Source organism: Homo sapiens, chromosome 8, assembly GCF_000001405.40.
Source record: "Homo sapiens chromosome 8, GRCh38.p14 Primary Assembly".
NCBI classification, from domain to species: domain Eukaryota; kingdom Metazoa; phylum Chordata; class Mammalia; order Primates; family Hominidae; genus Homo; species Homo sapiens.
Window position 1 is genome coordinate 113,357,685 of NC_000008.11, and position 23,828 is coordinate 113,381,512.

The 23,828-nt window shown below is 33.3% G+C and overlaps 1 protein-coding gene and 1 pseudogene across 9 annotated transcripts in view; one reads left to right on the top strand and one right to left on the bottom strand.

Annotated features, from left to right (window-relative positions):
• Positions 1-23,828, bottom strand: part of CSMD3 (CUB and Sushi multiple domains 3) — a 1,214,012-nt gene that overhangs the window by 1,134,757 nt on the left and 55,427 nt on the right. The window contains exons 1-2 of one of the 9 annotated variants that reach the window (NM_198124.2): positions 19,389-19,468; positions 19,054-19,201 (exon numbers count right to left, since the gene is read on the bottom strand). The exons of the other annotated variants lie outside the window; for them this stretch is intronic. Coding sequence (NP_937757.1) covers positions 19,054-19,111 — 58 coding nt within the window. The 5' untranslated portion in view covers positions 19,112-19,201; positions 19,389-19,468. Of the gene's footprint in view, positions 1-19,053; positions 19,202-19,388; positions 19,469-23,828 lie in introns of those variants that run through there. 9 annotated transcript variants of the gene reach the window in all.
• Positions 18,950-19,606, top strand: RPL18P7 (ribosomal protein L18 pseudogene 7; annotated as a pseudogene).

Sequence of the window (23,828 nt, forward strand, 5' to 3'; positions counted from 1 at the left end):
TTACAATTGGGGGAGGGACCTAGTAGAAGATGACTGGATCATGGGGGCAGATTTCCCTCTTGCTGTTGTCATGATAGCAAGTGAGTTCTCACAAGATCTGGGTGTTTAAAGGTGTATAGCACTTCCCCCTTTCCTCTCTGTCTCCTGCTGGCCATGTGAAGATGTGTTTGCTTTCCCTTTGCCTTCTGCCATGATTGTAAGTTTACTGAGGCCTCCCCAGCCTTGCTTCCTGCACAGCCTGCGGAACTGTGAGCCAATTAAACCTCTTTTCTTTATAAATTACCCAGTCTCAGGTAGTTCTTTATAGCAATATGAGAACAGACTAATACCGAGTATGCATATTAAGTGTCTAAACTGTTTCTAGTATTCCACATAAAAACATCACAAATCTAGTTAATGTCAATGGATGGATATTTTGCACAATGTAAGCACCAATATAATATTGTAATGTGTTTATTTGGATATTATATGCAAATAGCACAATACCTAAATGAATTGTAAGTGGAAATTAAGTTGAAACACTTATTAAATTGTAATACAACTAAATTATTTCTCTAGCTTAAAAACAAGTGTAGAAAATTTCTGGATTTAAAACAAAGAAATACTACATATGCAGAATCAAGTGAAAATGCAAAAGCTGTACTGCACACATAGTAGTGTTTTTAAAAATAGGAAACTTTTTTTTTGAGATGTAGTCTTGCTCTGTTGCTCAGGCTGGAGTGCAGTGGCATGATCTCAGCTAACTGCAACCTCCACCTCCCAGGTTCAAGCTATTTTCCTGCCTCAGCCTCCCAAGTAGCTGGGATTACAGGCGTATGCCACCACGCTTAGCTAATTTTTGTATATTTAGTACAGACCAGGTTTCACCATAATGATTAGGCTGGTCTCGATAAAAATAGAAAACTTTTTTAAAGGAAACTTACAATCATGGCAGAAGGCAAAGGGGAGTATGTTGGAGTATGATATGGAGAGAAAAAGAGAAACTGTTAGAAGGTATGTAGCAAATTTCTCAATGATTAATGATGGCAATTTCGTGCCACATAGCAAAATAGAAAAAAAGCATACTGTATAATGCTTCTAAAGAAGCATCTCTGGGATGGTCGTGGATGGGGCAGAGATAGTCAAAACTCATAGAGGCAGTCAAGCATCAGTGATAAGAGTAGTAGCTCTGGATTCAATTTCATGCCACATAGCAAAATAAAAAGGCTATGTAGCAAATTTCTCAATGATTGATGATGGCAATTTTGTGCCACATAGCAAAATAAAAAAGCTGCTCGGTTAAAAAATATATATAGTAAAGTTGATAATATTAAAGATATTTTAGCAAAAAGTAAATTTGATAAGCAATTTCCTCTCAATAGTAAAAAAAAAATCTGTGAATATAGTCCCCTGAAATCAGAAAAAAATACCAAAATAATCCCACAAATTTTAAAAAATAATTTGGGATTGCCTCTAAGTTTGTACGTTTGACCAACTATGATTCTGGCACAAGGTACTGGCGAAGCAAATCAAATGTTCCATGACGTATTTACTTCTCATCTCACAGGATCCCTTTATTTAATTGGAAAACAACAAGTCATAACTCTCAGAAGTAGTCATTACATCCCAAGTAGGCTTCAAGTTTTTCATCTGAAAAGTACTCAAGAGTCTCTGGAGAGACTGCCAAAATCATAGGCAAGTAGGTGGGTGGTTTAATTGTGTAGTAAAAGAAGAATTAAGTAAACTTTTCCCTAAAGTGCCTGAGAACCTACCAGATGTCTGCTGAGGAAACAGAGCGGGGGCAAATTCTGGGCCCAGCTAAGATGGAATGGGAAATGGATTGGTTCTCTAGGACCTGGAGGCAGCTACAGCTTCAGCTCATGCAAGATTGGCAATCTAGAAAGAGGGCAGGAACTAAAGAGAACAGCAAACATTCTTCTAGCCATTGGCAGTATCCACATAAAAGAAAAGAGTTTGTCTTTCCAGTCTTTGCTTCTGAGCCATAATATCCTTTCTCATAATGCGTATTGGTTGTTGCAAGCAATTATTTGCCTTAACATTAAAAGTTTATACTCTTGAAAAGAACTGAAAGACTTTAATTTTACATTCTGTATTATATACCAGACTGAGGCTTGCTAGATGTAATCTGAATTAAAGAAAACAGTGGAGATGGTGGGATACAACCTACTTATAAATATAGAAAGTATTCAGACTTAAAATTTTGAAATCAAACATGTGCAGCTTCAACATGGGTAGGCTGCTGTGGACTAGCTTATATATACCCACTGCTCTGTGGGGAATGAAGTTCTGAAGTCCAGGCAAAAGGTACAAGGTGATGTTTACACACACATTGAGGAGAGGGTTTTATTACAAAGTTTACAGGTTTCTGTAAAATTTGCCTCTAGAAATTCAATTTTCATTGGTCTTGTTTTTAACACTTTTACTGTATATAGTGTCTGTTTTATTTTTATAATATGTATAATGCTTCTAAACAAGCATCTTTGGGATGGTGGTGGGATGAGACAGAGATGGTCAAAACTCATAGAGGCAGTCAAGTACCAGTGACAAGAGTAGCTCTGGATTCAGACAGACCAGGTTTTATACCCTACTTCAGCCCTCTAGAGCTATAGGACTTTGAGCTTGTTCCCTAGCCTCTATAACACTATATTTTATCAAGTATAAGGAAGGGGTATAATAGTAATAATTTGCAGATAAATTAGGACATATCAAGAAACTTGCACAGGGTTTACATACATTGATTTATTTTGTTTATCTCATATGCTAAAATACACATTTTGTGCTTCAAAGGACACATCAATTTACACTGGGACACATGTAAAAGTGATGACACTATAAACTTAAGTATTTATTACTTCAATATCTAAGCACTGACAAGTGACTTCAGTCTTTTTTTTTTTTTTTTTTTTTGAGACGGAGTCTCGCTCTGTCGCCCAGGCTGGAGTGCAGTGGCGAGATCTCGGCTCACTGCAAGCTCCGCCTCCCGGGTTCACGCCATTCTCCTGCCTCAGCCTCCCGAGTAGCTGGGACTACAGGCGCCCGCTACCACGCCCGGCTAATTTTTTGTATTTTTAGTAGAGACGGGGTTTCACCTTGTTAGCCAGGATGGTCTCGATCTCCTGACCTCGTGATCCGCCCGCCTCGGCCTCCCAAAGTGCTGGGATTACAGGCGTGAGCCACCGCGCCCGGCCGTGACTTCAGTCTTAATGAAATTTCCTTGTCTAGCAATGGGATGCTAATGGATTCAAAGAAATGGAAACATTTATAAGTATTCAAATATCATTTCACTGAAAATAAACAATTTTTTACAAGTAGTGACTGAATAGTTTTAAGCAGAAAAAAAAGGAACATTTAAGGACTTTAAATTGACTCTATTTTATTTTAGATGGCATCTTTAAGTAAAGATTATGTAACAGCAACTGAAAAGCTCCATCTGCTGGCTTTTGATTTCACTGGAAATGCATTATGATCATGTTCTTTTCTGATTTGATTCCCCTCCCCCTAATAGTTAATGTACTTATAATTGCTTCTTTATTGACTAAAAACTTAGCACTGATGTTACACTTTTGCATTTTAAATTCAGTGCTCATACATTAATTTTAAAAATGGCTAAGAGAAAAAGGCTTGTACCATGAAATAAACCCATATTTTGAACCAGTTGCACTCTTGTAATTAGGTATGAAAGCAGTAAAATTATTTATGTCGATGGAAAAAGACATTATAATATATAAATTTCCTTAAATATTCTTAACAAAAGTATTTTCTTATAATATTTCCTGAATGTCTTCATTATCTTTGAATATTTGTCTTTGCTATGGTAAACATAATAATAATTTGACATATAAAACTCACTTCATTGAAATCATATGTTTCCAATGGTCATAAAAAGTTAGACAAGACAGTGTATCATTATTATATCATAAAAAGTTAGATAAGCCAATGTACTGTTATTTTATCACATGGATTTAAAAAATAATTAAAAACAAATATAACCTTAATAACATCATTGGTCATCGAAAATTTATACATGTGAAATTGTAATTTTTAGGCAACTGAGCATTTATGACATTTATAGGAACCATATCAATTTGTAAGCTATAAAGCACAATTTATAATATAAATCATATGGGCAGAAAACAATATCCCTGCCTCATTAGCAATAGGAAATATAGTCCTAATGCAAGCAAATTTTAATATTTCATTGACCAATTTAGCTTATACTCAATGTTATTTCCTATTTTGCATGAACATGTCTATTAAGGATTAGTCCAATCTCAAAAGAAAAATGAGGCAGATTTTAATAAATAGATCTATAAGCTCTGATTGGCCTCCATCTATATTAATAAGTTATTCACAAGAGTATGTATTTCTCTAAATCATCTGGGAAAATAGCATTTGTAGCTAAAGTTGATAAGGATTTATTTGAAGTTGAACTTGCATTGAACATACAAGTCCAGCTGGTCAAATATTTTGATTCAAAAAAATTACTGAACACAAACTCTGTGTTAGAAATTCTGTTAGGTTTGGAAGATACAAAGATAAATAAACTATAACTCACAGATTAGACATTAGATTATTTGCCCAAGGGAAAAAGAAGAAAAATACAATATCATAATAACAGCAACAGAAGTTGGCATTGAGTTATATATAGAAGAGTCAGAAAGGAAAATTGAGAATATTTCCGGTTGGGGAACCTCCAAGATCAAAAGTAAGTATATTACATTTGATCTTCAAATGACACTTTCTGGTATACTTCTCAGTAATAAAAAGTATCTGCATAAAAAGTGAGACCATTTCTCCTTAACTAGAAAGTCACCATCCTTGGTGCCCTGTAGGTAACAAGACTATTGCAGTGTGAAACAGCATTATGTAATATTTTAATGAAAACTTTTAAGCCCGAGGCAAATTAAATAAGTAGGCAAAACAGCTCTTTCCCACTCAGTATTTCCACCCTGTTCCCTTTTCTCAGTTTTGTGGGATGCACCTCTTGTGTACTCTTGAGATTTTGTCTGTTTGTTTCAGTGGTAAAAGATAACTGTCCCCACTCAATATCACACTTTAGTTTGAAGGAGAAAAGCAGTAACTTAATCCAGTGTGTTTAGAAGAAGAAACTGGATTTTCATAAGAACTTCTTCCTCCCCATATTCTTCTTGGGATTTAGTTACCCTATTCCTGCCTGACAAAAATGGTAAAGGCAGTATTTGCCTCTGGAACCCAAGAAGCCTGAAGTTTGGGAGGGTTTAACTTTGAACACCAATGCTGAGGAGATAAAAATATTGAATCTGTATTCCTTAAAAAATACTGCTCAGCCCAGCCAGAATACTGACCTTCTGCTACCATTTTCCTCACAGATAATTTCTGTAATAAAACCCTCTCCTCAATGTGTGTGTAAACATCACCTTGTACCTTTTGCCTGGACTTCAGAACTTCATTAAGTTACATTGACTCTCATAAGGTTAAGCCTATACTATATCACATTGATCATTGTGAACCAGTATGGTATGGATCACAACTCCTGAAGTTCATAAGAAAATTACACAAAATAATTTCTTAGATACGACAAAACATCAAAAGCTTCTCTTATTTATAGTTAATTGCTTACACGCGTGTTTGTATATTTCAAAGTCCTTTATCAGATATGTTTTGTAAATAATTTCTCTCATTCCATGGCTTGTGCTTTAATTCTTTTAATGGTATCTTTCACAGAGTGTATTAGTTTCTGGTTGCAGCTGTAGCAAATTACCACAAAGTTGATAGCTTAAAACAATAAAATTCTGCTCTTTCCCTGTTCTGGAGACCAGAAATTTAACACCAATTTGACTAGGATGTATTTCAGAAGGGCCTTGTTCCCGGAGGCTCTAGTGAAGGAGTTCCCTAACTCTTCTAGTTTCTGGTGGCTGCTGGCTTGCTTTCGTGGCTGCTTCGCCCCAATGCCTGTTTCCATTTTCACATCACCTTCTCCTCTTGTGTGAGTCTAATTTTCCTCCACCTCTCACTAATAAGAACTGAATTTGGATACCACTCAGAGAATCCAGGGTAATCTCTTCATGTTAAGACGCTTAACTTAATCATATCTACAAAGATCTTTTTTTTCTTACAAGTTCACATTCACAGGTTCCAAGAATTAGGACCTGGTATCTCTGACTATACATTTTCAGCCTACTATATAGATCAGAATGTTTTTAATTTTAATAATGTCTAACTTATCAATTATTGAATTTCATGGATTTTTCTTTGGGGATTGTATCTAAAAGTTATTATCAAACCTGAAGTTACACAGATTTTCTCCTATGTGTTCTAGAAGTCTTACAGATTTGTGTTTCACATTTAGTTCTATGATCTTTTTTGAGTTAATTTCTATGAAATATGTAAGGTCTATGTCTAAATTTATTTTTAATATGGATGTTCAATTGTTTCAGCAACATTTGTTAAAGAATTCTTATGTGTTTTTATGACTATAATTGTTCTGGAGCCATTGGCTTACTTATCCTTACCAGAGTTGGCTTTTAAAAAGAGCTGTTAGAGTGTGATGTAGGGCAATCTCCTAAAGGAATTAGACTAAATTTTTTTTTTTTTTAAAAAGGATCTGATACAGAAAATGTATAAAGCATGGGGACAGGAACAGGGATGGATGTAATCACTCTATGTATAGTTGAGGAGAATATTATTATCATACTGCTTTACCTTTACATTTGTATTCTTTAAGCTATCATCTTTAAAAAGAACACTTGAAAAGAAAAAAAATTTGAATGTGGAAATGAAATGCTAGCCTAAAAATATTTTACTAAAACATGTACTTCGATTTCAACAAGTTCTAGTTTTTTGAAGGAAAATAGCCAAATTAAATTCTGACAATGGACATATATAAAAGGATTAAAAAGAAAATAAAATATTTGGATTTAAATGAATCTCTAAACGATACCAGTTATACTTGAAGATTTCTTGCTGCAGTAATTTAAGTGTGAGTTTTTTTCCTTATTGTTATATGTTCTCCAAAATATACATGAGATCTAAAATTTACCATGTCATGGAAATTTGGAAAATGACACAATTCAATGTAAGGCTTTGTTGTGGCTGCGTTACTCATTCTGTGCTAAAACTATATTTCTTTAAAAAGTATTAGCCTAGAAAGATACCAAAACATGTTACATCACAAAAAAAGATTCTGAATTCAAATACTATTGAGAAGACTTATAAAAATTAAAAGGTTTCTGGACCACAAATATCTTAAAGAATTTAGCTATTTACTCTGTTATATTCATTTTAAAGTGAGAATGTATAGTACACCAGATTGATCAAACAAACCGTCCTTGGAATTCTTTTCTTTTTCATGGAGCATCCCTTAATATCTCTCAGGAGACCAATGTTCTGTAGAATACATTTATGTGAAATGTTGAACTATAACAATGCCCAAGGCAGGTACCTAATGAGCTTTCCTTAAGGAAAATGAGCAAGAGTTTATGACTTTTCATGGAAATTAGAGTGAAGGTAAGCAGAAGGAAATTTTAAATAACTCATTTTAACATGGAAGAAAAAAATCAACCAAAAAAGCTGAAAACTAAACTGCTATTAAGGATTCAAAAGCATCAGATTCTTGAATAGATCAACAGCTTTTGAGAAAAGTTACCTTAAACATAACTCATAAAATAGCTATATCTAAAATAATATATTTTCATAGTTCAGGAGTAAAAATAAAAGTGTTATTACAATAAGTTGAATTTGCAAACCACTCAAAGGATGAAATGTATAATCCTTTAGAGACAGAGCTTTATATTAAAATTTCAGTTTTACCTCATTCCATGTAACTTTGGTCAGAATGAAACTCAGAACTTAAACTAATATGTTGTAACAGCATCACAAAAAAATGATGTCTTATGTTGTATTTTTAAACTAAAAATAGATTATGTACATTTTAATTCAATATTTATAAATCATAGACGTTGGCTGAGCTGTTGTCAGTATCATACGATGATGTTACAAGATAAATGATATTCACTGCCAGCAAACAAAAATCGGACCTGAACATGGGTTTCTATCTGACATATATGTGCCTGTCCCACTGTGTCTGTATAGGTGAGTTTTGTCAATAAAATAATGAGAGTGTCGTTCTGTTATAATCATGAGTCTCAATGTATCAGCATATTTCCATCAATCCATATAATCTGTCATTTTTATATGTATCACTTTTTAAACAGTAACTGAATTTTTCAAGTTGAATGCAACAACAAATGACCCAAAAACCCACCAAATTATATAATTTTCCTTATAATTTATAACATATCCAGTTTAATCAATACATTTAAAAATATTTAGCCAAGAATACTTTTATTCACATGCTAGACAGTTGGCATTTTCACCATACCAAGTACTCCTAAGACTGCATCTGTTTCACCAAAAAAGGTGGGGGCAAGAATACTCTAGGATTTGATGCCAAAATATATCAGTATTTTAGGCAACATTACCCTGCTTGTTGTCCTTGCTGCCCCAGGTTTTATTTTTATTTTGTATTGTTTGCTTCTATTTTTGCAGGAGACAGAATCTCTTTGTGCAGATTTCTGCTTCCATACCTCACCAAAGAGCCCTCTGAGGGTTTATTCACAGAGATATTCTTTATAGGACACAAGGATAAATCTGGAGGAGAGACACTGATTTCTAATACATTCATTTTGCTTCTATAGAGTACCTCAACGCTCCCCCATTAAATTTCCATGTTGATAAATAAAAATACCAGAAATATCATGAGGAAAACCAAACCAAATACCTTACTAAGAACTGTATTTGATTTAAAAGGTTGTTTTATACAATAATTTTAATTTATAATCTGCAATAGTGAAAACAAGCATGGCCCTCCATCTTCCAACACCGCCAGTGATTTAAAATGCAAATTTTCTTCATTTTGTCTTGTATCAGAATTGAGAAGAGCTAATCGTTTTATGCATATTTGAATGCAATTCTTGTTTCCAAAATGATGTCTTGAGAAAACTAGAAGTTTGAGCGTATACCATGTGTGTTTATAACACTGACAAAATCAGTTTGCTCATTTACATGATTTACAATATAGAAGTAAAGCTGGAAAATTTTTATAAACTTTTCTAAATGTAACCTATTGTATCTTAATATCAACTGTATCTTGGGATAATGTGTTAACCATGAACAAATTATGCTTGCACAATGATTATACAAGACAAAAACTAGAGTTACGGAAATCATTGGTGTTAAAGATGTTCTCTTTTCTCTATAGTATTTAAATATACAACAAAATCATATTTATTGAAATTAGGTTATTCCCTTTAAACTAAGTTTTTAAAACAGCTTTCAAAATATGTTGAAATGAGTACTTTTTTTAAGGTTGAGAGCAAATATTCTAGATAAATGTGTGATTGAGTCAATTAAATCAGATTTACAATATACTTCCGGGGAATAATTAGTCAAGTTAGTATTTCCCTAAATTGAATGAATGCTTTTGGATAATACCTACTATTATAAAATATAATTACTTATGCTATCAAATTTCCAACACATATTCCTGTTTAGAAACAACAGGACATTATCCATGTTTTCTTCATTAGCTATACTTATTTCATTCAACTTGAGTTCTGGAATAACATATTCTTTTTTATAGGTTTAATTTTTTCATGAAGATTTTAAACCTATTATGAAGAAAGTAAAATAAATCCCCATCAGAATTTTGCCAAATTTACTTCATTTTTTAATATTTTAAGTATTTATAAGTTATAAATTTATCCATTACATTATTTCAAAGACCAGATATTGCTTTACAATGTCTTGTACATAAATTTACCTATTATAACTTAAATTACAATTATGATTCTTCCAAAATTCAGAAGCCGTCTTACTGAAATTGGAATATTATCTGAACTCTTTACCATGATCTAAAAAGACATTTCAAAATTTGGTTCCCACATATCTTAGTAACTTCGTTTTACACCATACGCCTTCTTGCTCTCTTCTTGCGTCTGGCTTCCTTTATATTTCTCAAACAAGCCAAGCTCTTCCATTCAGGGCCTTTGCACTTGTTATTTTCTGTGTTTGGAACAGTCTAATCTCCTGAATGCTGTATGACTGTATTTTTTCATAATTCAAGCCTCAACCCAAACCATATTTCTTTAAATAGACTTCCCTGGCCCACCACCTCTAAAGTGTCTTTGCCTCTTCCCTGGATGCTGTCTAGTACAGCCCTTGTTTATTTTCTTCATGATAATTGCAATCTAAATTATTTTATTTATTTATTTACATGTGTGTTGTCTATTTCCACGAATGAAGTGGAAACATCATGGGGGCTGAGTCCTATTGCTACCTGCTGATTTGCTACTGACTGCATCATTATTTGGTACATAAATATTTGTTGAATAAAGAATGAAAAAATTAACTACACTTCCTATTTGTCCTCCTTAGGAAGCCAAATGAAAATTTTCTTTTCTCACATAATTTTGGCTCAAAATGGCATAATTGGCCAACTGCCAGACTACCAAACTTCTAAAGCAATACTTTCCCCTTTTGACTAATACTAACTCACCTTCCCAGCTGTGTTACCAAAGAACCTTTTCATTTGGTTGACTCCCATGCGATGTCAACCTCAGGAGCGATGTCTCAAGTTCCAAAGCCAGATGGCCATTTCCAGGAATTTAACAGATATGCTGGCTCTTGTCATGGATAAGTTTGAATTACTAGACTTATCACTGGTCTTCAGTCCCCAGAACTTTACACTTAGCAACACTTAAGCAATATTACAATGTATATCTCTATGAGTGTGTACGTCTTCTATAAATGAGAACTTTCTTTTGCAGTAAGTTTCCTAGAGGAATATGGATAAATATGTTTCTTTATATAAAGATGTTAATGTGTTACCTTTCCTTATATATCACATTATCTTCCTAAAAACTCAAGTTCAACACAAAATCCAAGTGATCAAAATGTTTAACCCTTTTATCCGCAGTTATAAGGTTGAGCAGCAATAACATTGGCAAAGCAAGTGATGCCCTGATGACACGTCAATAATCTTGGCTTTTAAAACTGTATTATGAAGACCGATTCTGTGTCCTAACAACTGAATAATATTTACATATCATTTATAATTTTCTGTCAATGCACACCATATCTAAATTCATATCTAGTCCTACTTTTATTATCCCTTAATCTTAGGTATTTTCCAATGAAGGTAATGTTTTCTGGGGAAAATATCTGCAATTGCTGAGAATAGTGAAGCATTACAGTGAATCACCAAGGAACGGTGGGTTTGTGTTTCTAAAAACTAACCCTCAAATAGAAACAACTGCATTGAAATATAATTTAATGAAAAGTGTCCAATAAAAGTTATTCATAAATATAATTTAATGTGTGCTTAATGGTGGCAAGTGAGGCAAACAAAAGGAGAATACTACTCATTTTCATTCCTGAGATCAGCATATCTTTATTATAGTAAATCTCTATCAATTTCTCACCATATTTTTCAGAAAAATGATGATTCAGGTAGAAAATAATTTCACCCACATTTTAGTTAATCAATGCACAGCAGTCCCAAGGACTGTGTGATGATAATAATAATAAAATAAAATTTGAGGATCCAAATTATTAGATAAATTCTTACTATCTATATTTATCTTGAATCTGTTTTTGTTGGCTTGAGAAAAAAAGAACTTTCTCCTCTGATAAGATATGACCTCACTCCTGTTAGAATGGCTATCATAAAAAAGATAAAAGATGATTTCTGGTAAGGATGTGAAAAAAAAGGAAACTGTTGTACATTGTTGGTGTGGACGTAAGTCAGTACAAATATTATGGAAAACAGTATGAAGTTTCCTCATAAAATTAAAATTAGAACTACTGTATGATCTAGCAATCCCACTGCTGGGTATATATCAAAATGAAATTAAATCAGTATGTCAAAGAGATATCTGAATTCCCATATTTAATGCAGTGCTATTGACAATAGCCAAGATATGGAATCAACCTAAGTGTCCATCAACAGACAAATAGATAAAGAAAATGTGGTATATATACACAATGGAATATTATTAAGACACTACTAAAGAATGAAATCCTATCATTTACAACAACATAGATGAACATGGAGGACATTATGTTAAGCGAAATAAGTCAGTCACAGAAAGACAAATACAACATTCTCTCTCTCACATGTAGAATCAAAAAAAGTTAATCTCATAGAAATAGAGAGTAGAATGGTGATTACTAGAGGCTGAGGCAGTGACAGTGGGGGATTGGGAGATGTTGGTAAAAGGATACAAAATTACCCTTACATAGGAGGAATAACTTCAAGAGATCTATTGTATTGTACATGATGACTATAGTCAATGATGATATACTGCATTCTTGAAAAATGCTAAAGAGAGTAAATGTTCTCATCACAAAACTGCTAACTATATGAGGTAATGTATATATTAATTAGCTAAATTTCATAATTACACAATGTATATATACTTCAAAATATCATGTTGTACATAATAAATACATATAATTTCATATATTAATTAAAATAAATATTTAAATAAATTTAAAAAAACACATAAAAGGATTGCTCACAAAAGGAAAAAGATAGCTGGCAGAGTAAAAAACAATGTTTACACACAGAATAGCATAACAAACTAGAGTGGCAAGTTGTTGAATATGACTGGAACATAAACTTGTGATGTATCTTCCAGCCTTTTACTTAAAAGATAGAATCTAAATGACCTTGTCAAATTGTGATTAGGTTTTTTTTTTTTATCTTGTAGACAACTGTAGGATCAACGAATTGTTACTGAAGCTTAACTTCACAAAAAGGCATATTGTGAAAGATCATTACAAATCATTTATTGAATGCATGTATAAATTTTCTCAAAATTAAGCCATTCACAAACACATTCATCCTATCTTTCAAGATATATCCCCTGCACCCACTCTAGGTTATTGGTTCATTATATGCATTCATTTCTCAGTTATTTTACTTCTCTGGCAATTTTACTATTTACTATTAAATGTTTACTATTCATTTCTCAGTTATTTTACTTCTCTGGCAATAAATCTCTTCCATCCCTATTGATATTCTTACCCTATTACACCAACATGCCATGTTTACTGAGCTATTCTCAGGTCTTCTCTAATTCTCCATAAAGTTTATATTTTGCCTGTTAAAAAAAATCTGCAGCTCTGAAGAGTTTGGTTGTATCATGAAGTTACATGCAATAAAGTCATTGTAAGATTAATAACAAATTATCTTTATTCTAGAGATCTGTCTCAGCGTAATCTGTGGGAGGAGAAGAGTAATTTCAAATATAAATGAAACAAGCTTGGCCATGAAGTTACAATTGTCTTACCTTCGTTATAGGTATGCGGAACTTAATCATATTATACTCTCTACTTTTGCATATATTTGAAATTGTCCATAGTTTTTGAAGAGTAATTTTCACAAAATGTATGTTATTTCACAATTTAGATGATTTTGAAATAGATATGCCATTTTTCTATTATAATGAGTTGCTTACATATTTGTCTTCTCAGTCGTATTACTTAACTACTTCCTTTTTGAGGATAAAGCCAGTATTCTATTATTTCTAAATATTTTTAAAAAAACATTTATAAGGTAGCTACTTAATAAACTTTAAGTGGAATATTGGGAATATCAGTATGTTTTATACCTTTAATTTTTGGTCATATATATTTGTAAATTACAAATAGTAAATATTAAATACATATGCAACTGTGCAGTACCTGTACATATGGCAGGTTCTAAGTTGCCTCTGACAATTCCCTGAATGACAACAGAGGTACAATTATTATACATTTTTGCTTGTTCTCTCAACTTTATATTTTATCCAAATTAAGTTTATTCTTATTCATCTTTTTATTATTTGCTTTTGCACTGCTCAGATGGCAATTGCCTTGGAACTCGGTGACAGTGTTTATAATCTTAATGTGAGTCAATAACAGTGGAAGGTTATCACAATAAATCATAGTGGGATGCAGGCAACGAATCACAGATCAATTACATCTAAGAATTACAGACTGTGTCTTTAAGCAGGGAAGAATAGTGTCAGCCACTCAATTTGGAAAGGGAAATAAACACACTCAGATTCCTAAGAGATCTACAAACGCACTAAACAACTGTGAAATAGGCTCTGTGAAGAATGGTTGAGTGAATAGTGGTTTTTAGCTTGTAAAGCAAAAAGCCAACAAGGAACTTAAGACTTTTCACATATATGAACAGGTATTGCTCATATGGGAGTATTTCAATGAGAACAATATTATAGCAAGTAGAATTTAAAAAAAAGATTTTAGACTTACATGAGTATTAGGAAAATGCTAGTGATAGCCTACAGTTCCACACTAGTTAAAAAAAATTAAGTTGAGGTCAAGATTATTTAATCCATTGATTAACTGTTCACTCAGGATTTGTGACTCTGCAAGGCCAGGTGCAATTTTTATCTTATATTTTAAATATTTGGGAGGTCAATTTTTTATATCAGAAAACAAGCTAGTTCCCCAAGGTATTTTGTAATTTAAAAATTGTATGAAGTACCATAACAATATTATTTTGAAAAAGTTCATTTCACATTTGCACAAAGTCCATAGTTAGTATCCTTTGTTATCTTATTATTCTTAATGGTTACCATATTAGGTTGGTAAACTTAGTTGGCCCCAGGTAATTAGATGATTGAAGCTACAGGGGATAAATATGAGTTTTAATCCATTAATATTTTGGGCTTTGATTTCTACATACATAAGATGAGAAGCGGATTGGAGGATCTTAACTTACTCTTCTGCTAAATTTCTAGTGTTTCCTGAGTTTTTTATGTCCTGATTTTGATGCAAATGAAGCAGGCATGCAGCCAGTAGGGGGAGTCCTGATCTTATCCCCCAAATTATACAACCTCATATAAGTTGGCACACAACTGTAAGTAATCTGATTGCTTTATTTTATACCATTCCAAAAGCATAGAAAAGACACATTTAGGCCGGGCGCGGTGGCTCACGCCTGTAATCCCAGCACTTTGGGAGGCCGAGGCGGGTGGATCATGAGGTCAGGAGATCGAGACCATCCTGGCTAACAAGGTGAAACCCCGTCTCTAACTAAAAATACAAAAAATTAGCCGGGCGTGGTGGCGGGCGCCTGTAGTCCCAGCTACTCGGGAGGCTGAGGCAGGAGAACGGCGTGAACCCGGGAAGCGGAGCTTGCAGTGAGCCGAGATTGCGCCACTGCAGTCCGCAGTCCGGCCTGGGCGACAGAGCGAGACTCCGTCTCAAAAAAAAAAAAAAAGAAAGAAAAGACACATTTATACACAGTTTTTAAAAAGTAAAAAATTTAGAAATGTATTATGCTGTAAAATATATCTATCTAATGGTATAAAATAATACTGTTTAAAATTAGCGTTTTCATTTAATCTTCAACGGGATTAGCTGCTAGTACCAACGCCACTCTGAAGCAGAATCCAATTCTCTAATCTGTAAACAACAGTAAAGGAAAAAATTTTGGCTAAAATTAGACACACACAGATGGTATTCCTATATTCTGTGCTTTCATATGTAACACCTGCTTCAATCTGTACTCAAAACCACTCAGGAAAAAATAAAATCTCTGCATTTATTTACTCGAAAAAATAATTTTTCTATTGACTTATTTAAAAATAAAATAATTGGTGATGTTATATTTGATTTTATGGACACACACACACAAAGCCTTTTTTATTTTGATCCCTGTTTTACTCCACTGGTACTACACAGGCTCGCTCACAATATTTTTCCATTTTAATTTCATTTATGTATTAAAAATTGCTTAAATACGTATATGTATATAAATGCACACAGCCCAACACTTTCAGCTTACATTATATGTGTATATATATTTATATAAATACACATATATACATTTACATATGAAATAAAGATGTTTATTAATTAACTTTACTGGTATTTTGAAATTTTGTCTACCTTTTTGGGTTAATAATTTTCCTTCAATGTTACTAACATGAAAAATGGGAAAGGACCTTAGAATTTGTCACTTTTGAGTCATTAAAAGATACAAAAACCTAGGGTATTTATCACATATTTAAAGCATCACATGAAGTTGCTAAAAGAGCTGAAACTATGCCTAGGTCACCTGACTCACAGACTAATTGATATGCACTATGATATATTGTTCCCTGTAATCTATACTACTCCTTTGGGGAGAGTTGTCCATATTCTTTATATCTCAATTTCAGTAAATGTATATGAAAGAACTACATGACATCTCACTTCTGTGAAGCCACAATGGGAGTTGGTGAATTAACATTTAACTGAATATCTCTCTAAAATTCAGGTCCAATTAAATATTTTTCTATTAGGAGGAATATCTCCAAATTTCTCTCTCTCTCTCCACATATATCTAGCTATATAATATCTAGATATGGGTGCATTTAACTCAATATCATATCTATCCATATTTACATTATAATATACTTATGTAAAGTAAATAATGCAGAGAACAATCATATATATACACACTTTGGCATATGAGTATAGACACAGAAACACATGTATTTGAAAAACATTACAGTCTGATAATTAGATTATGAAAGATATTAAGAAAAATATACATGGCAATGTTAAGATTTAAAATAAAAATTTTAAACCTATATGAAGAATACATTGGCATATATTCCTTGCATGTTTTTGAAATATTATTTTAACGAATGAGACAAGTTTGAATTCTTATTCAGACCACAGCACTCTTACCCCCAGCTTCCTTAAATTTTTTCTAGAGATAAGAAGGTTGGTGCTAGGAAATACTGAAAAATACAGAAGTTCAAATTTGTATTCCTCATCTGTCACCCTACTTTCACATACACTAATATTTAATAAATGTGAATAAACACATTAAAAGAAGGCATATCAGACAAGTGAAATCTAGTGAAATACACATTTTTGGAGTAAGACATTTTCACATTGTTTTTCAAATCCAACATCGATATTACTTATAATATTTTGAGCTCAGCTGTGGAGGAATTGAGGGCATTTGAAAGCATTCCTAATATAACTCAGCAACAGTTGTCGCTTTAATTATCTAACTCTCCTTTTGATCTTACTACTTATTCAATTATTCTTTGTGTACACTGCCATATGCACCTTGTTGTTAAAAAGTAAAAAAAAAAAAAAAAAAAAAAAAAAAAACCAATAAAATGAACACCATAATACCATGAGGATCTAGCATGAGTGTAAGATTAATGCTGCCTATACCTTTATCCGTGGCCAAGCACTTATCATTGTAAGTGTTTGTTTTTACAGTTGGAAGACAGCGTTCTACAAGATGGCATATAAAACAACTTTTTATTTGAAAGTTGTGACCATCACTTTACCCAGTATAACAAAAGAGTAGAATTTTATGTTATATACAGAAGTTTACCAAAATTTCTCTATGGCTTTTCCTCACCTACAAAATCAATCTCAAGATAATGGTGAAAAACGATGTCATTCTAAGAATGGAGCATCACTGAATAATGGGACAACATAACAGGTATTCTGCCTAAGGAAATCCTCATTTGCTCCCCAAATCATTGCTAATGTAGCTCACAAAATACAGAGTTGTTACACCAGAAAAGAGACTTAATAACATATAATGATGTCCATATTGCTATCAGTCAGTTAACAAACAGATACCGAATATCTACTTTGTGCTAATGTCTGCCAAGAGCATATGTCTAATAAGTAAAATTCGCTTTGAGTTTAGACTATAATTTAGAAGTTATTTCTCCCCTTTCCACTGAAACGAGTAGGCAAAGTTCAGAGGCAGCCAGTAGAAAACACTTCAAGATGGATTCAAAGCCAAAGACTATTTAATACACACACACACACACACACACACACACACACGTGTCATGCCGAGGAAAATAAGAAACTATCAATACTTTACGAACAGCATTGAAATATGGAACCCTCCTTAGGAATGAAGCTAAGAGGGACCGTTGAAAAATGATTATTCCCCAGAACAATTTGCTAATTGCTGAAGAGTCAGCAATTAGTATTAGCGGGATTTGATTTTTTAAAATTCTGCCAACATAAAATCGGAGTAGCTTATGTAAGACTAAAATATGAGAGAAATGACCGACATAAAAATTAGAAGAACAGAGAAATGAAGTAAGAGCAAGCCAGGATAATTTGGAACTAGAATAATGGTTTTTATAATTACTTAAAGAAAACTTAAAATAAGTATCAGAAGTCTTATACAATTAATTTTGTGTATGATATTTTAATTTTTTACCAAAATTTTAGTCAAAAATGGTGCTGTGTTCTTTTAATGTCATACTGGAGCCCTGTCTAAGACGCTCACTCAAGGTTGATTTAATTATCTATATGAATGTAACTTTTATTTTGTCAATTGGCAAATTCTTATTTAAGATGAACTCAAGCTCATTGTTTTAATGAGATGACTCAATGTCTTTCATGAATCTGGACATTTATAAATTTGTTCATTTGAACATAGAAGATAAAATTTAATTACTTTTAAAGGCAGGATATATATATTTAAAAAGTAGGTTCCTGAAGTAGACAAATACTTCCAAATAGCCTTTGAGGCATAAAAGTTATTTGATTGATGTACAAATTTCTAATAATTATTTTTTCTTTAATATGAAATGTTAAAACATCTTTAATAATTTGGTATGTTTCTTATATGAGGGTATTTAAAAGTAAATACATGTTCAAGAACTGTTTGTTTAGTAATTCATATTTTGATTCAAATAATAATAACAAAAAATATATTTTGTAGAAAATTTGTCATTTCATTCAAAAACTGGGAGGTGAGGGGTTGGAATGTACAAGACACTTAAGAGTAGGTGGCAAATTCTGTCTTCTGTCTTTTCTGTATTATTTATGCGTTTGTTGTCCAAAATAAACTAATATATAAAAAAATTGATATCCAATTTTTTTTAATCCTCATCAAAAGAAAGTTTACCACTCTCTCTTTCCAGACCTGGCCAGGCAGGAGGCGCCATCATGGGAGTTGACACCCGCCACAAGGACCGAAAGGTTCGGCGCAAGGAGCCTAAGAGCCAGGATATCTACCTGAGGCTGTCTGTCGGTCAAGCTGTACAGGTTTCCAGCAAAGGAACCAACTCCACATTCAACCGGGTTGTGCTGAAGAGGTTGTTTATGAGTCGCAACAACCGGCCACCTCTGCCCCTTTCCCGGATGATCTGGAAGATGAAGCTTCCTGGCCGGGAAAACAAAACAGCCGTGGTTGTGGGGGCCATAACGGATGACGTGCGGGTTCAGGAGGTGCCCAAACTAAAGGTGTGTGCGCTGCGCATGACCAGCCGGGCCCGCAGCCACATCTTCTAGGGAGTGGGGTGGGGTGGGGGTGGGGCGGAGCGGAGCGGGGCGCGGGGCAAGAGCCTCACTTTTCGCCAGCTGGCGCTGGACTCCCCCAAGGGCTGCGGCGTCGTCCGGCTCTCCGGTCCTCCAAAGGGCCGAGGGGTGTACGCCCCGGAAACCCTGCAAACCCTACATCCGCTCCAATGGCCGGAAGTTCGAGCGCGCGAGAGACCGAAGGGCCAGCCGAGGATACAAAAACAAACCGTGGAGCCTACCCTCTTATTAAAAATATTTTGGATGCTGAAATAAAGAAGTTTACCTTCATTAACATCATTTTCTTTTTAAAATACAGAAAAGAATAAATTATTTCAGTATACACATGAAGTATTCCAGTTGTAAAATAATATCTGAAAGTGATTTATCTATTTCTTATCAATTTTTGGAGATGCTGATAAGTCAAAAGTGAAATCTAGAGAACTAACATTACAGTGCAAATTGGGAGCTTTCCTAGGATTTTGTCTTATGTGCCAGCTATCTGAAAGCTGAGTTTTAGTTCATTTGAGCTATATTTTTAATCCAAAGAAGGTACACATTTCAATTTTTCTACGAGTTTGTGTTAGACGGTATTTATAAAACTTGCAAATATTTATTTTTACAAACAATAGAAACTCTAATTTTAGCAAAGCACCACACTTGGAGTTGGACCATCTGCAATTCAGTTCAATCATGCTAACTGGCTTTGAGATCTGTATTGGGGTTCAATACCATTAAGCCTAAAAATAAGCTTTCAACCCAAAATTATTATAGCAGATTGTGTTGAGTAATGATTTATCTGCCAAAAGTTATTTATTCAATACTTTCAAAGTAGCACCTGGATGAAAAAATATTAAAATATATTTTCTAAAAAATAAACGAGGAGCACGCCTGAAAATGGTGTGCTTGCTTTTTTGGAAGATTTTCAAAATGGTCATATAAGTTTGGATTTAAATGGATAAACTACTGAGGGAATACAATAAATACACAAATAAATAAGGCTGATACAATGATTACAGCTCTTTAAATAGATTTTTCTGGCTTCTCCAAAAGTTCCATTATGAGATTAATAATAATAATATAACATAGACAGAAAACATCATTTTCTACTATAGGCATAACCCTTAGAACGGCATTTATTCTTGGTATGACAATTTTGCTAAGCACAGTGAGTCATTTGTGAACTTCTGAATATGGTGTAATGTGAAGATCCTGTATTATGAATAGGAAATTCAACTCAAATTAGCATTCACTTACTCAAAAAATACGTATCCAATGCCTCCTCAGTGTCAGTCCTGTGCCAAGACCTGAATATACGATAATGAAACAAACTTATGCAAATGGTGAACCAAACTGACATTCCTTGTTTAGAGATATAGTCTAGTTGAGGAGGTAAATATTATATAAGTAAACATTTTAATTATATATTGTGGTAAGTTATATAAAGAAAAGAATAGTATTTAATCCTCAGAGGATAGGGTAGATAGTAGTTTTACGTTATAGTGGACAAGAAAGGCATTTTAGAATAAGAGATGTGTTTTTGAAATTTATAGAAAGAGAAGAAGGCAGCCATGCAGCGAACCTAAAAAGAGCCTTGTTTGTAGAGGAAATTTGTATGAGAATGTCTACGTGCAAGAATGTTTGCTGCTTTAATGCAGTGGATTTCAGCTAGGGGAGATATTGCCACTCCCCACCATGGGAAATTTGGCAATGGCTGAAAACAATTTTGATTGTCACACTGAAGTGTGTGTGTGTGTGTGTGTGTGTGTGTGATTAATACTGGCATCTAGTGGATAGAGGCTAGAAATACTGCTAAACATTCTTCAGTGCAGAAGACAGCTCTTCATAAGAAGCTAAACTTGAGAAACCCTACTTTAAAGAAATTGAAAGAAGTGCAATGTGCCCCAAAGCACAATGTTACAAAATGAAATTGAGGAGGTAGAAAGGGATCATGAAGGAGCTTGTAGTCCATGACAAGAAGTTTGGATTCCATTCTGTGAAAAACTGTGTATTATCATTAGGTTTTAAGTGAGATACTAATAACACTTCATTTACATTTTAAAAATCATTACTCTGGGAAATAGTGGGTTAATGAAAAGGGGTCTTTTATTTTCTACAGTAGGAATATTTTAGTGTAGTCAAAAGGAGAAGTAAATTATAATGAACATGAACCCATTTGGGTAAACAAACCATGCTATTATTGTCTTTTGCATGGAATTTTAAAAAAACTTGCATATTAACTCTTGCTAAAAAGGGATTTTTCTGAGAATTAAAAAAAACACACACACACATTCTGAGTATTTTGTGGATAACATAATAGTATAAAATAAAACTAAATACAACAGTTCCAGTAAGGAAGATATAATAATATTCCACAAGGCATATAACCATTGCAAATTTATTTGTTCTAGGAAGAAGGCAATAAAAATGAAGTGAACTGGTTGAAACAGACAGTGGAGGCAGACCATGAAGACTAAGTGATAGGTTGGATGTGTAGCCTAAGAAGAAGGACTGGTCAGTAATACCTCACAGATTTTTAGCTCTAGCACCTAAGCAGATAAGGTATCAGTAATAAAAATAGAAAGAAAGTGGCTATAAAAGAATGTGGCTGCAATGGATCTCATATCTTCAGCTTCTCCAGCCCCCTTTGTAATTCAATTACATTTTATTTTACTTGGAAATTAATCTAATAATATAATATCTGTGTACTTTTTAATCTTTGAACAAAGTTGAGATTTATTTTATAGCTACAAAACAGAAAACAATGACTATATTTCAGTAGCCTTATATATGCAGGAAAATCTATAAATATGCATCATTAAATAGAAACTATACATTGTTTTTGCACTAGAGTACACCCTTCCTGTTTATCAGATTCCTGTTTTATGAAAGCTATCTTACAGCTCTGCAAGTTGTGGAAAATTGATAGCAATGCAAACTAATTCCTGTCTTGTCACATGCAAATTTGATCTTGTCCAGTAGATGTTTATTTAATTCACTTCCCACCTCACTGTTGAAAAAGGCAAACTTGCCCCCATTTGCATATTCATTTCAATATTCATGATCCGTACTGTGTCTGCTCTTTGAAAGGTTCTTTTTTTTAACCAGCTATAACATCCGTGGGGTTCCCTCATTAATTAATGAGTAAATAAACTGTTTAACATGTTCATTTTGATATTTCCATTAGAGTTGTAATTTTACCTTTTGTTGAAAATTTTGCTTTCACAGGTTTATCTTATAACATTCTAATTTAACAGGACACTTCTTTTCAATTAACTTCAAGTTGCTTATCATCACATCATGAAATTTTTCAAACTAAGGTATGAATAAAACAATAGTCGAAAACTCCCTATCTCTGAACGATATTTTCCTGAATATATTACCAGAATATTTACATATAAAAGCTGCATGTGTGTTTCCTTTTTTCAAATTTAGAAAAAAAAGAAAGAATTAGAAAAATATGAACTACTGTAAATGCCCTTTATTGAAATGGATCTGAATATAGACTAATGTTTCCACAACTTGCAGATAAATAAATAACTATTGCCACTTTCCCAAAGACTGACAATGAACATCAACCACAATTTACTAACACATCCAAACTCAAAACCAAACTGCTTGAACAATAACCTTCCATAATAACACAAAAATGACTTTAAACTATGCCTATATTCTGTTTCTCAAGCAAATAGATATTTAAAGCAATTAATTTTTGACTTATGTCGTCACCAAATGAAGGTTCCCTTTTGCCCAAGGAATGCTTTATAGTCTCCTGCTGTCTTTGATATGTGCCACTCGGAGACCAGATGCTTTTCAGAATATGTGATGTGGCCAGAAAACCATGTCCTGATGTGCTGCAGTCTGAAGGAAAACAAATAAACCAAAAGAAAAAAAAATGAATAAAAAGAAAAGAAAGAGAAAAAGGCAAACCTCAGAAGACTGCTTCTCACTTCTTCCCTCAGGCCTTTTCCAGGCAGTCAGCTCTTTCAGCTAGGAATAGATCCAAATCCCGTCTCCATATATAAATGCCAAGCTCGCACAATGTTTCTTGACTTCAAAAATAGATGTTTCTCTTCAATAAAGTTGTCGAATTATTTTAGAAGATTTTTTTCTTTATTTGACAAAACTGGTATGAATTTATCACTACAGGTAAGCTAAAGTAGTTTCCCAGGTGCAAGTGGAAAGAGAAACACAAATTAAATGATTTTCATAGAATAATTAAAGTGTGAGGGAAATAATTTATATAACATATTTGGGGATTACAAGGGGTTCTGCAAAATGAAGCATTTATATATGAAGAAGAAATTAATGAAAATGAAGACTATCCAAGAAGCAGAAACAGATCTAGGTTTTTAAAGGCCTGAAGTTTATTCTTTTGGGGATCTAACTCTAAGAAAAAGAATGCAAAATTGAAAAAAGAAGATTACTAATGTCCATTCAGAGTTTTTGAAGGGCTTGAGCAAATGCAAGGCTCCAAAGCTTAAACTTCATTA